Genomic DNA, 15,034 nt, shown 5'->3' on the forward strand with positions numbered 1-15,034 from the left:
AATGAACTGAGAGAGATCTGATTTGAAATAGTATTCTTACCTGTTCTCAAAATCTGAAAGTCCAGGAGTCCATGGGGAAATAAGATAGAGTTTTTATTACATATTGAGGTATCATAACTCTTCCTCAACATGGAAACAAAGAGCTTGCATTATGTCAGGTTTGAGCTTGTTAGAGACATCATTTCAGCAGGCTTTTTGGATTCTGTGTTGGTTGCTACTGAAGTAAATTTGCACAGTACTGTTAGCCTTTGGGGGTCTTTCTTACTCAACCACTATAGTTGTTGCAGAATTTTGTGCCTTAGTTCAGCTAAAACCTGGTTCTTGTCACACGACCAGGAAAATTTGGACACGTTGAAGGGTGAGTAGAGCAGGATTTTATTAGGCAAAAAGGGAAAAAACCTCACAGATTAAATCCCAGGCCACCACACAGAAACTGAAGAGACCAGGCTCCTCTTGCCTGCCCATGGCTCCACCCTGTTCCCCCAGTGCACATGTGGGCATGCTCCAGCAAGGCCCTGGGCAGCTTCCCTCATCTGTGCCAAAGCCTCTGATGTAAACACTTATGGAGCAGGTCGGAGGTTCTCCAGGGTTCCCTTTTTATCTGCTTAGGCATTCGGCTATCTCGTAGTTAAGATTGAGTAGATCTGGGCAAGAAAACAGGGGAAGAAATGGATATAAATATGTGCCTTTCATCTTCATTAATTTGAAGCCTCAAGTTTGTATAAGTATGTTTCCCCAAGGGCCTTAACATCAGATGTTATGTAAGTAGGATTTTGATTATTCAGAAAATAAACTTACCAAGTTAAACACAGCGATATTACCTTGATTTGGAAAAAAATCATTTAGCAATGGAATTCAATTTTATACCCCGGTACCTAATACATGATTCCACAGGGAATCATGCTTGATTCTGTTAGAAATACTAATCTGGATGTAAGCACTTGCCTTCAAGGAGCTTTAAACTAGTGGAATGTAAAAAAATGCACTAGAAGATAATGTAGACTGTGAGGGAAAAAAATGTTATGTGATAGAGATGAGTTTCAGTTAGCAAGATTGGGCAGATTTTAAGAAAGAGGGGGTATTTGACTGAATCTTGAAGCAAGGATAGATAGAACTTCAACTGACGAGTAATAAAGGCTCAAAGGGGAATAGCATTTGTTTCATTAATGTGCTCCTAGAGCTCAGCTTGCATAACTCATTTTTTATAAGACTAAGTTTATGCTTAAAAACTCACCGATGTCATCAAAAATCTAATAGGAATATGAACATTTTCTGCTAGTGGTTTTGGTCTCTATGTTAGTTCTATACTTTTTTTTTTTTTTGATAAGAAGTATGGATGGTGGGAAACCAACTGCTTTGATGGAAATTCAAGCAACAGACAGATCCCCTGTCAGCTCCACACAAAGATATCCTGATGAAGTTCTCCTGACTTCTAGGAGGGAATGTTTCGGAAGTGCACATGAGGGAGAGGAATCCTGCTGTCAGCTGACTTTTTCCTTTGCTTACTGTATTTGTTTTGTTTTGTTTTGTTTTTAAAACAGGCTTGGACATACATTTTCAATTCGAAAACTCCCTTCTGAGATCCAAAAGTAAACATGTTTACAGATTATGCAAAAGTTTGAGTTTAGTTTCAGAATTTTTCTCTCAAAGGCTCTAGCACAAAAAAAATGGGGGATGTCCAAATTCTGGAATTTGAAACAAATAACAGGACAGATTGCAAGCTGGCAGCTGGCAGGGAGAAGTCCATTATTTCCCAGCTCCATTCCTTTGACTTCAGCCTAGGGAAAGGTTACCCTAACCTTGCCTCACCTTATTACCCATTCTATTTTTAAGCATTTCTCATTTACTGAAAAATATTTACCACATACTTCTAGTGGATCTAATCATTAGATTCTTAGGTGGACGCTTCTCAATCAATGAAGGACAGAACCTATCGAGCTTCCTGACCTCTTTAGTTCCTAAAACGCGGCATTCTGTTTTCTCTTTTTACTACTAATAAAGGCAGTTAACATTCACTGGTGGGCCACAGTGAAAACTTCAGATAGTTTTCTGAAGGTTTACTACTTTCTATTTAGTTTTGTTCTTTTTTTTTCCCTAAAAATTAGTGGGTTCCCCAGTTTGTGTATTGTAATTCCCTTTTTTTGAGTCTTGTTTTTCCTCTTCTTCTGTGATTTCTACTCATTCCCGAAACTCTGCATAGTAATCATGACCAAATGATTTCTGAATTCATATATCAAATCCCCCAAAGGCTTAATATCATCTCAGAATGTCAGCCAAGCTCAGATTTCCAAAAGTTTTATATTATTACATTGGCTTGAATCATAGACTTGTGTCCTTCTGTAGTCAGCACCCATTCCTTCACCTTTAGGCATAGCTCCAGTTCTGAGAGACCTATCCTTGCCTCTACTGACAACAGCCTGGTAGGGATATCAGTAAATGTAGCCAGACATGTATATTGCCACATGGCTGCTGCATGGCCCTGATTAGGCCATCTTGATCTGATTGAAACAAAGATTAGAAATAGTAGAAGTTGATTCATTCCAAATACTTGATGGGACAGCACATCAAATCCCACAGCTCAGACCCCTGGAGCTGCTCTGGTCTGTGTGTTTTCTAAGCATACCTTTCAAACCCTCCCTCTGTTTCTACAAAACCCTGTGTATTTTTCAAAGGAATCTCTTTTTATGCTAGGAAGAGGTGGTCTCTATTGTCTGCAACCACACACACACACACACACACACACACACACACACAGATATTCTCAACAAGTAGTTTCTACAATGTTGATAGGCACATTGTTAGAGATGGAGTTAAAAAATCAATTCCTGAGTCCTAAATATAGGCAACTTTTATTTCAATGAGGACATAATACATCCATACCAGAGATCATTATAATACCATGTATTGGTACCAGGACCTGGAGGATATATTGAGGCATCTTCCTAAAACTTCAACCTAAGTTGCTATCTGAGATTTAAAACCAAAACTTAAGGGACAAGACATAAGCCGCCTCATATAATAAATACAGGACAACTTCTTTGCCATCAGGACATAACTGAAAACTAAAACACATATTTGTCAAAAGGTGTGTTGGTAAATGTTGGAAGAATAGATTTGTAAAAGTGAAGTTTGGAAGTTTTCATAAAAGAATTAATTAGTAGAGAGGGGAGTACCTTGACCAATGAGCTTCCTATATCAGAGGAAGGCAGATGAGACACAATAATCTGAAGTCTAATGCAGTTTGTTCAAATCCTGGATAACTTGCTTAACCTGTCTAGGTGTCAGTTTCCTTAGTTATAATTTGAGGATAATAACAGTATAAATTATTATTAGTTTATTGTGTTGATTATATGAAATAATCCATTTCCTATAGTTTTTACTGCACATGGGTTAATATAAAATATTATCAACTTTTTTACTATTATTATTGAGTTGGCAAAGTTATTCCTATTATGGGAAAAGATTATCAGACATTTTAGCCCAGTGCCTTACAAAATTTGGATCTTATCATTCTTTTAGTTCTGATCCTGGGCTCATGAAGCAACCTTCTGTTGCTAACTGGCATCCTACATAGGCCTGCCTTGAGGGAAGAATTGCTCTGCTAAGGCCAATTAGTTTCTAAGGAAACTCTATTTTAATACATAAACCAATAATTTGATTTTTTTTTAAACTTTATAGATCAGATTTATTTGGAGAAAACAAAACACCGACAACCCAAAGGATGGGATTTTACGTCAAGACATCTCCCAGGTAATAAGTCTACAGATTAAATCATTTTCATGGAAGATATTTTTGTACAAATTTTACATGTATTCAGGAGCCGGACATTAATCAATCCCTGTTTCTATTTTAAAAGGGAGGACAAAGTAGGGGAGGGGGAAAACAGTTTTGGATATAACTATTTGGAAGGAGAGTAGACATGAAGAGGGCAAACCCTAGCTTTTCATTATCTACAACCAATGTTTTTTTTCTTTTAAAAAAAAAATAAAACAAAAACTTTTCAATCTTCAACACTCTTTAAAAGCCCACTTCTTAGCTACTGGCCAATCCACAGCAATTATTTAATTCACTTGGTACACACCTTTGTCCTCTGGGTAAATTATATTCATTATGCCCACTGCTGCAGCACGCATAAACCAACACCCCTGCATGGCTGAACAGGGCCTAATCTAGGACTGATGGGAGAAGGGCTTGCAAACCAAGATCAAGGTGTCGTTTCTCTGCTAATACTGTCTACAAAGCTGATCCCTACAAAAATGCACATAAAAGCAGGCAAGTTTATCTACTGTGTTGCAAGGGAAACCAGGACTTTGTTAAATAGTTCTCTCCATTACCATTTGTTCTCTCAAGGGAAGCTTAAAAAAAAAATAAAGAAAAACAGCACATTGGTCTGCCCCCCTCATGAATCCAACAAGCATTGGTGTGGCATTTCAGTGGAGAAGGAAACTTGGGGGGAAAAAGCCCATCAAGGTTGTAAGAAGACTCCCAATTTAACTGTCCCTTTCCCTATTTATCCACCATCCAAGACCATCCATTATTCTAGAGCACTCTGATCTATAAAAGGGGTCAAAGCATCAGGAGCAGGCAAGGAGTGAGAACCAAAAGACATCAAGAAACCGATTTGCTTGAGAAAAGCAGCGATTCTTCCTTTCATAGCTCTCCATGGCTGAGAGAGAAAATGCCCGAGACATCATGTATGTGACTTAGAGACTGCTTTTCGGGAGGTTAAAAGTAGCATGAAGAGCTTAAGATGACGATAAGAGTCTAAATTTTTAGTTTCAAGGTTTCAGTAGAATGTGGATATATTCAAACTTTCAAAAAGGACAGTGTTTAGAAAGGGTAAAACTAGGACACAGAAAACATTGGGAATTACCACGACCTCCAAGTGCTTCCGGCTCCAGGAAATAACCATTCATGTGTTTGCTGGAGGTCACATAATTTTCCCCTATTACCTGGTGCAGAATGACTCATCACTTCCCAAAAGCTTCTTTTCAGTCCACAATTTTCCCATTTATTTTGGTGCAATGCAGTCCCATTCTTTATGGCCTACCGTCTCACTCCCAACTACCCTCCTGGGAGTAAAAAAAAAAAAGGAATTCCCCCTAGGCTGGCCCCCAAAACTCAGAATTAAATAAGAGGAGGGGCTGGCAGCCTCCTGGAGACTAAAACAACTTGAGGCTAAATCTACCTTTCCAAGGGTGGAAAATTTATTCAGATAATGTTTGAGAATTCATATATGCCACCATAGGATAAAAACTAAAAGGTAGAAATCTCACACTTTTCCTTCTACCTCCCTCCCATACTGCCCAACCAGGTTCCAGGCGTTATATCACTGTCATTACCACTTCTGCTAAATGGAGACCTCTAGTTTGCTTTTATAAATCAAACTTGTGATTTTGGCAAATGAATGCCAGCCTTTTCATCCAGCTCCTAGAGGTAGGACATCCTATGGTAGACACAAACCCTGGGGCCTTGTGGAAGCGTTTAAATGGCTGAAGCATCAAGGAAGCCTTCTGAGAAATGTTTAAGAGTTAACCAGGTCAAGGAGATAATGAAGTTCTCACTGCCAAGGTAGTATAGGGCAAACAAAAAGCTTAAGGTGTCAAGATATATAAACAGAATGGGGATGGGGGTGGTGTCATGTGAGGGGACTACAAGTACTTCAGGGTTGCTAAAATAAGAGTTAAAGGCAGATACTTGTAGGAGACTGGGCAAAAAGTCTGGCTGGGTCAGTATTTAATTGTATGCCCCCCCCCAAAAAAAATTAATAAGCTGAAATCCTAAATCCAAGGACCTCAGAGTGTGACCTTCCTTGGAGATAGAGTCTTTACTGAGATAATTAAGTTAATGTGAAGTCATTAGAATTGGTTCAAATTCAATATGACTGATGTCCTTATAAAAAGGGGAAATTTGGGCACAGACATGTATAGAGGCAGGGTGATTTGAAGACACACGGGGACAGATGACCATCTTTCTTCCAGGCTAAGCAAAGGGACCTGGAATAGATCCTTTCCTCATAGTCCCCAGAAGGAATCAACCCTTTCAATACATTGATTTTGGGCTTTTCACTTCCATAATTGTGAGTTAACACATTTCTGTTGTCTAAGCCACTAAATCCATGAAACTTTGTTATGGCAACCCAGGGGACTAATTCAGCCAGATTTTAAACCTCTGTATGTATCTGCTAATGAGCTTATACCTTCTTTGCATGATAGGAAAGCATTGAAGTGTGTGTGTGTTTTTTTAATGTGTGATATGAGAGGACTTGGTGTTTGTATGCATTAGTGTGTGTGTATGTTTATAGATCATTATGATATCCCTGTGGAAGATGGATTCCTGGAGACTAAATATTCAAGTCAAGGACATCAGTTAGAAAATTATTATGTTAATCCAAGTGAGTTATTACTATGTGCACTAAGGGTAAGAAAACTTTAATATCAGAAGGACTCAGGAATTGTTTACAAAGGTAGTGGAATGACATTCAGATGGGCTAGAATTGGAGCCACACTCTCGGGATGTGTGTTATCCTCTGCCACCTGCTAGCTGCGTGACCTTGAGCAAGGTACTTAACCTTCTTGATCTTGATCTCATTTCTTTACAGTTTGTCTGTCCACTGAAGCCAACAAAGTTTCCAAATCATAAACCTGATTGTCATTTCATTTTCTCTTCTTAAAAATAAAATAGTCCCATGGCGCCTGCTCTTAAGGGGCTCACAAGTGGGACAAGATTTCCTTCCTTCCTTCCTTCCTTCTTTCCTTCCTTCCTTCCTTCTTTCCTTCCTTCCTTCCTTCTTTCCTTCCTTCCTTCCTTCTTTCCTTCCTTCCTTCCTTCTTTCCTTCTTTCCTTCCTTCCTTCTTTCCTTCCTTCCTTCCTTCTTTCTTTCCTTCCTTCCTTCCTACCTTCCTTCCTTCCTTCCTTCTTTCCTTCCTTCCTTCCTTCTTTCCGTCCTTCCTTCCTTCCTTCCTTCCTTCCTTCTTTCCTTCCTTCCTTCTTTCCTTCTTTCCTTCCTTCCTTCTTTCCTTCCTTCCTTCCTTCTTTCCTTCCTTCCTTCCTTCCTTCTTTCCTTCCTTCCTTCCTTCTTTCCTTCCTTCCTTCCTTCTTTCCTTCCTTCCTTCTTTCCTTCCTTCCTTCCGTCCTTCCTTCCTTCTTTCCTTCCTTCCTTCCTTCTTTCCTTCCTTCCTTCCTTCCTTCCTTCCTTCCTTCCTTCCTTCCTTCTTTCCTTCCTTCCTTCCTTCTTTCCTTCCTTCCTTCCTTCTTTCCTTTCTTCCTTCCTTCCTTCCTTCCTTCTTTCCTTCCTTCCTTCCTTCCTTCCTTCCTTCTTTCCTTCCTTCCTTCCTTCCTTCCTTCCTTCCTTCCTTCCTTCCTTCCTTCCTTCCTTCCTTCCTTCCTTCCTTCCTTCCTTCCTTCCTTCCTTCCTTCCTTCCTTCCTTCCTTCCTTCCTTCCTTCCTTCCTTCCTTCCTTCCTTCCTTCCTTCCTTCTTTCCTTCCTTCTTTCCTTCCTTCCTTCCTTCCTTCTTTCCTTCCTTCCTTCCTTCTTTCCTTCCTTCCTTCCTTCCTTCCTTCCTTCCTTCCTTCTTTCCTTCCTTCCTTCCTTCCTTCTTTCCTTCCTTCCTTCTTTCCTTCCTTCCTTCCTTCCTTCCTTCTTTCCTTCCTTCCTTCCTTTTCTTCCTTCTTTACACCCCATTTTTCTTTAATTAAAGTATCTAAGGCTCAAAACCCCAGCCCAATTTTACTCTCATCCCTGACATGAGTTTCCAATCACGATAGATACTAATTTAAAAGCACCTTTCTTGAGTCCTTTTCCTTTACTTTACCATCCATCTGTATGATCAGTCTGTCTTTAGTCACTCCTGGCTTCCAATGAGTGATTTCCTCTATACAATAATGTTCAACAGCTTTTCAGTATCTGTTGCATTAAATGCAGAATCTCTTTTTTAGCATTCTAGATCATTCATCATTCTAAAACACCTTTCAACTTTATCTCCCATTCTTCCCCTTTGTATTCCATCTGCATTGATCAAATGAGATTATCTCATCACTGCCTGATTCTACGCAGTCCCCTCTCAATTCATGCACTTCTTCTCCATTCTTTCCTATAGAAATTCTACCCATTCAACAGGGTCCTTCCTAAATGCCATTTCCAAACTAAAATGTTCTCTGCATTAGGGTACTTTCTCAGTGGTGTGTAGTAAACATTTACTCAGACTTGAATGAGGGAAATGAATTTACTGGCTTAAATAATTGGAGAGTCTGAAAGTTATTTTCAGTTTTCTCTAAGTGGTGTGTGTCTTAGTTTCCTGTTGCTTATAACAGAATACCTAAAAGTGGGTACTTTATACAGAAAATAAATTTATTTCTTGAAGTTATGAAGGACAAGAAGTCTAAGGTCAAGGATCCTCATCCGGTGAGGACCTTCTTACTGGTGGGGACTGTCTGCAGAATCCCGAGAAAGCACAGGACCTCACATGAGAAAGGATGGAGCATGCTAGCTCAGGTCTCTCTTCCTCTTCGTATAAAGCTACCAGTTCCACTTTCATGATAACTCATTAACTCATTAATCAGTGAATGGATTAGTCCATTCATGAATGCAGACCCCTCATGACCTAATTACCTCTTAAAGGCCTCACCTCTCAATACTGCAATATTGAGAATTAAGTTTCAACATGAATTTTGGAGAGGAAAAATATGCAAACCATAGCAGTGGGGAAAATGGCTCCCTTTCCCCATCTCTCCATGCAGCAGCTCTAGGCTACAATTTATAAGTGTAGAAGAGGAGTGAAACTATTATTTTTATTGTTCAGAAAAGAAAGGAAGGAAGGAAGGAAAGAAGGAAGGAAGGGAGGGAGGGAGGGAGGCAGAGGGAGGGAAAGAAATAAATTCCAATTGGCTCTACTTGTGACAGATGATCACCTGGGCCAATTACTTTTCCAAGAGATTTGGAAAGTCTGATTGGATAGCTTGGATAATGTTGAGAGTGGCATGGCTTTTGATTGACAGCCCAGACAGGAACAGATGAAGTGACAAAGAGGCATTTATAAAACAATATGTAGAAAAGATAGGAGTGGTTTGGAATCTGGTGCTGCTTAGTCAATGGTAGAAGTAGAGACAGTGGTCTGAACACTGCCATAGAAACATGTGCTAGAACGTTTATTGGCTAATTATATTTCTTATCGCTGTGTGCATGCCCCTGTATAGTGTGACTTTACCATATCTCAGTTAAGAGGCATTTCACTCCCTTGATCCTGGGCTGGATTTGTGATTTGCTTTGAACCATACAATCTATCAGAAGAGACAAGGTATGCAATCCAGAGCTAGGTCCCCAGAGGCCTTGGAGATTTTGTTTTTGATGCCTTAGGACACTGCCCTGACATTACCATCCCAATGAGTAATGAAGACAGATAGCCACTGTCCCAGCAGTTCCAGTTGAGCCTAGTCCCCAAGCAACCCACCTTCTGAATGCAGCACAGGTGAGCCCAGCAAAAGAATCACTCAGCCAAACCACAGAATCATGAGAAATGATGACTAGTTATTATTTTAGGACACTAAGTGTGGGGTGGTTTGTAACATAGCCCTAGAAAACTGATGAAGAACAGGACCAGGCTTGCACTCCCAGGAGAGCACGAAGAAAAGTTCTCAAAACCGATCAGTATTACTAGTGTGTTTTGGAAATAAACCCAATGAGAAAAAACATAGGCTATTTATTGAGAGTTTGTTATAGCAAGAAAGTCAGCCACCATCACTTGTGTTTGGGCAGAGACTCAAAGTCAGGCAGAGGAGTAGAAAAGCCTTAGAGTGGATAAAAAAGGAAGGCTTCAGCTGTGCCTTGGTGACAGGGTATTGGCAGGAGGAAGCTGGAGGTGAGCTGACTAGATACAGGGTCCCCATGTGATTGATTGGGGGGCATATTTATCTATCTTTGTTTGGCTCTAAGTTGGAAGTGGGGTAAAAATTAGAGAAGCTGTCAATTAAATTGTGGCCTTTTTGAGCCAGTTGTGGCAAGGCTTGTTGTTTGGCTTCCTGGACTGGTTGCTGAAGAAAGTGGTCCGACTTGTGGCCTGGTTACTGTAACTAGCAGGTTAGGTGCCTGTGCTGTTGTTGCAGACTATGAGTCAGAGTTCTATTTTTATAGGCACTCTAATTATTGTCCATTTGTCTATTCCGTTTCTTAATATTTCACTTTGTTACAAACAGAAAAAAAAAACCTCTCTCTGAATTGTTCGGAACATGAACCCCAGAATGGGTTTAATCAAGATAAACTAAACTGTGAGAAGAAGACCTTTATAAAATGTTCATTAAGATGGAAAGATATGGGTCAGGAGAGCTGGGAGTTTGAGTCCTCGAGGGCACAGGAGTCACAGCATTTCAGGGGCAAAGTAGCAAAGAAAAATCCTCTAAATGGAACATTATAAAAGGTCAGCAGAGCAAGACAAAAATATATATTGCTGTCCATGTTATAAAAGCTGTCAAAAATCCAAGGCAGCGTCACTAAGAAGCCTCTTTCTAAAGGCAGATGCCTGGAGTGAGAATAAAACATTAACTCATTAACCTTTTTATTATAAACATGTTTATTAATTTCTTAAGAGAGAAGGGAGTTCTATGAGGGAATTGGACTTATGACAAATAAGTTGTGATGAGTTCAATAGAATTGAAAAAAGTGAAACACTTCTAATTCACTTAGCAAGACCTTATTGTGCACAAGCAATATGTAAATCATTGTTTATCAGTGAGAGCAATGCAAAACGTATGTGACATGGAGCTTCCCTTTAAGGAATGGTTAGTCTGGCAGCCTCGTGGACACTAAAGCATGCCTATAAATTCCTGGATATGATGTAAAAAGTGATAAGTGTGGTAACAGGCAATAGGCCATGGGAATATGGAAGACCAGAATATTCTCCTTTCTCTTTAGAAACATGGGCAATGATGGCACGGAGTAGAAGCTGTTAAGAAGAAGTTTAAAGGAGGCGTAATAATGGAGCTCTTAAAAAATCAAGTGGAGGACAAGTTCAAGGGCTAAAAAGGGACTTTGGGATCTGGAAAACAAATTATTAAAGCTACAGGATAAAGGTTAATTGGTTGGAGTGTTGAGTTAGCTGAACAACTGAAAAAAAAGTGAAGAGTGCTAGAAAAAAATATCAGTTTCAGTCAGACAGTGGAAGACATTGAATGCCTAGATAAGAATGCTGACATTTATTCTACATGAAAATGCTCACAAAGCTTTCAGGAAGTAGAATATTATTCAGAACAGTGCTCTGAAATGAACAATCAAGCAGTGGCTTTTACAACAGATAGGTCTGAGGTAGGTTGTAATGGCACCAGATAATAATTCATTGGCAAATATCTAATGGGGGCAACAGAAACGAATGAGAAGAGATAATAGATGGCCTCAAATTTCCAAGTATCTGACCAGATAGGGGCTGAGAACTGAAAAAAATGGAAAAGAGAAGTATAAAATCAAAATACCAAAGAGTTGTTGCTAACTTCACAATAAAGAGCCAAAAGTTATCACTCCATGTAATTTCAAAAGCCTGCTCTCCCCCTGTGACATCCTAAAGGGACACATGGAAATAAGTTTTGAAATGGCATGTGGCCATATGATTCATTGTCATACCTGGAAATTAGGACTCAGAGTTATGTTTTCTTTTCTCCTTTTTGCTATTTCTTTGAAGAGCTTTCTACAACCCAAATACTCTGCCAGTTTTCCAATGTATTTGTGAAATGGTGATCATGATTTTGGCTACCCTCATGTGGATTTAGAGAAGAAAATAAATTGAATTCATTTCTGCAATGCACGTTGAGGATTTCAGAGATTTTCTTTTATTTGAAGAAAAATATAAGCTTCTAAAATACTCATAACAGCCAAGGTTGGGCAACTGAAATTGCCTTTTGCTCTGCGGAGACTGCGTAATATGAGCTGGAAGGAAAAAAAAATGATCCTGAAACCTGAGGTTTCACATCAACAACTGAAAAAAAAAAATGTAGAACATAAATTGTAGTTTTCTTGCAGAATATTTATAACAGCTCACTTGTAGTACTCCGGTCTCTAGCTGAACAGGGCCAATGGAGAAACATTTCTCGATTCAGCGTTTTGTTTGATCCTTACTACAGAGTGATTGATCACAGCAATTTCTTTCACATAAACAAAATCCTCTAGACAAGCTTGTTGGAGACACTCAGGGCTATGAATACACTGCAGACCAAAAACTAATATTTTGCTTGCTGTGTTTAAACTCAGTGCCAATAGGGCTCAAATCACTTGTATCATAAAAGCAAAACTCTTTTAAGCATCCTGATTTAATTAGGTTCCAGGGAAAGGGCATTGCCTAAACATGTTTCTCCTGTAGAGAGGTATCTGTCTTTTCATTAGAGCCCCAACATACAAGCAACAAAACGTATGGTTTAACACGGTGAGCATCTTTAATCATTAGGAAACTATCCAGCAACTAGCTCAGCTACCTCATTTTGGAGAGCAGAGAGCCGTATCGGGAAGGAAGAGAAATGGAGGACAGCATTTCCCGTGATCCTGAACATGTTCTCATATTGATGATGGTCGTTTCTGCCGCCGGAGTAGCCGGAATTGTAATTTGAGAGGAGTGTCATTTTCTGCAGATACAAACCTTGTGTAATCCTCCCATTTAAATGACATGATCCTGCAGGCTGATGATTTCATGGCCCACAATTTGTCACCTCCCCACTGCTTGAGAGCGAAACGGTAGCTAAACGACAATCAATAGACTGATTTTGTCATGCCTGACTGTTCACCTTGTTTGAACTAATTTTTAGTTTGTTAATTGTGTTTTAATATGCCACCAAAGGGGGAGGTGATCATTATTTTTTTTTAAAAAAAGGAAAGAGATTGTCAAATGAGGTGAGGAGAGGGTGATTTAAGTGGGATACATTACAGAAAATCTATAAAGTCACCCCTGCTCCCTGGAGTAATTTCCATAGAGGAAATAAACTAGTTACATTTAATGTTTGTGTGCAAAACTGATTTTTTTTACTTCTTGTTAATATGCTTTATTTTTTCTATCAGGATTCAAATAATTGTAACTATGTAAACACCTATATATGTTACTATGAATAGATTTTTGTAGTTTCGATATGGAAATATAATTTTTCAGAGATAGTGAGCATTCAGTTAGTCACTGATTCATGTGTGGTAGAAGTCATGCCTGGTAAGATGTCATCTTTTCTGTTTAAGAATCTGTAAGTAGACTGGAAAAGAAAGGTTTCAGAGTTTTTTTGAATATCATGCTTTTTGGACAAAGACAAATCTTAAATATAAATAGACTTTAATAAAGCTTTAGGACCCATTAATTAAATGTCACTTTCAAGATGCAGAAGTGAGGCTGAATGCAGTGGCTCACACCAGTCATCCCAGCACTTTGGGAGGCCAAGGCCAGTGGATCAATTGAGGTCAGGAGTTTGAGACCAACCTGCAGAACATAGCAAAAGCCCTTCTCTACAAAAAATTATTTTTTAAAAATTTGCCAGGCATGGTGGTGCATGCCTATAGTCCTAACTACTTGGGAGGCTCAGATGGGAGAATTGCCTGATCCCAGGAATTTGAGGCTGCAGTGAGTTTGATCATGCCACTGCATGCCAGCCTGGGTGACAGAGTGAGACCCCTAATCTCTAAAAAATAAAAAATAAAATTTAATTTAATTTAATTAAATGATGTAGCAATAATACAGATTAGGGTGTGGGTGCCTGGATTACCTCTGAGTGAAGGCGGCTTCTGGAGGTTCTTAATCCCCCAGTGATTACAGTAATCGGTAGTGTCCCTGGAAGATTAACATACTATGGTATATGTCCTCTTTGAAACTGTTTCTTTCCTCTTTTGTTGGTATCTGAACATTAATATCTTTAGGATGATGACCGCATTCATCATCCAAACTGAGAGGCTTTTGAAAATGAAGGAAAAGAGTTATTAGTATGTATCCTGGGAATATTGACAAAAACTGGGGCAGTCCCCACCAAACTGGGATGTATGGCCATGCTAAATATCTGCTCTCTGGACTTTCAGGTGGTATGATATGAAAATTCACCCACATCTTTACATAAATATGGGAATCGTACAACTGGTTAAATAGAGTGTTTCTATATATGGTATGGTATGGTGGCAGGTGTGACAGAAAAAACTAGAAAGTGAAGAAAGAAGCATGTGAACATCTTTGCATAAAGAAACTGCCTAGACTTTATTACTCATGAATGTAACATATTAGTGATTTCCAGAAACTAGATAGAATGAATGATCTCTAATAGAGAACCCTCCTCCCCCAATGGTTTTGTATACTATTTTCTCAGGATACTTAATAATTTCTTTCTAAACTGCAAATGAGAAAATGAAGCATAAATATGGTCTTGACTTTGGCACACCCAATTATTTGAATTGTTGGTATCATTTTAAAATAAAATTGTTTTATATTCCTCTTCCTAAATGATTCAACCTCAAGACCAATTCAAGTGTTATTCAAATAATTTGAATATCTTTCACTTCATCCCTTAAGAAGTACAACAAACCTATGGTTGGGTTGATGGAGAGAGATTGATGTCATGCCCCGACCTAGGAATCAGAGGTGCTAGCTAGGCTCTGCTCATTAGCTCAGAGACTAGAATGAGCTGACCTGCCTCTCTATTCTACCAGTTCCACTTCTAAGGGAGCCATTTGCTGAATAGCTGTGACCCCTTATTTACAGAAAATTGCATCTGTAAAATGAACAAATGTAAAAGCAAAATGAGTCTGAACCAGCATCTCTGACTTTCTTCATATCATCAATTTTATGTTTAATTTTTATATATATAATCAAAGTTATTATTTCTTCTATTGAATAAGTTTTTACTATTAGGAGCTTTGAATTTGTTGTCACAGTTGAAGCTATAAAAAGTTAATCCAGGAACATTTTTGTAATGTTACTTTTTCCTTAAAATATTTGAAACCTTATATATCTGATATACCCATCTTTCATTTTTTTAAATTTCCTTTCCATTTTGAGCAGAATCAGATATAATTCCTTCCATCCTCTCTTCTTTTATC

At 38.9% G+C, this 15,034-nt stretch overlaps 1 long non-coding RNA gene across 2 annotated transcripts in view, besides 1 other annotated feature; it reads left to right on the plus strand.

The window, feature by feature from the left end:
• Positions 1–15,034, plus strand: part of LOC107986059 (uncharacterized) — a 125,190-nt gene that overhangs the window by 75,580 nt on the left and 34,576 nt on the right. For both annotated transcript variants that reach the window (XR_007095784.1, XR_001740585.2), the window contains exon 4: positions 3,679–3,750. This is a non-coding gene — a long non-coding RNA (uncharacterized LOC107986059). The remainder of the gene's footprint in view (positions 1–3,678; positions 3,751–15,034) is intronic.
• Positions 6,409–6,909: an enhancer, noted in NCBI's record as "H3K27ac hESC enhancer chr3:1002002-1002502 (GRCh37/hg19 assembly coordinates)". NCBI's record gives its function as "activates a minimal SCP1, AML or CMV promoter by ChIP-STARR-seq in naive H9 embryonic stem cells {active_cell/tissue: H9 hESC(naive)}" and the evidence as "EXISTENCE:reporter gene assay evidence [ECO:0000049][PMID:30033119]".

Source organism: Homo sapiens, chromosome 3, assembly GCF_000001405.40.
Source record: "Homo sapiens chromosome 3, GRCh38.p14 Primary Assembly".
NCBI classification, from domain to species: Eukaryota; Metazoa; Chordata; class Mammalia; order Primates; family Hominidae; genus Homo; species Homo sapiens.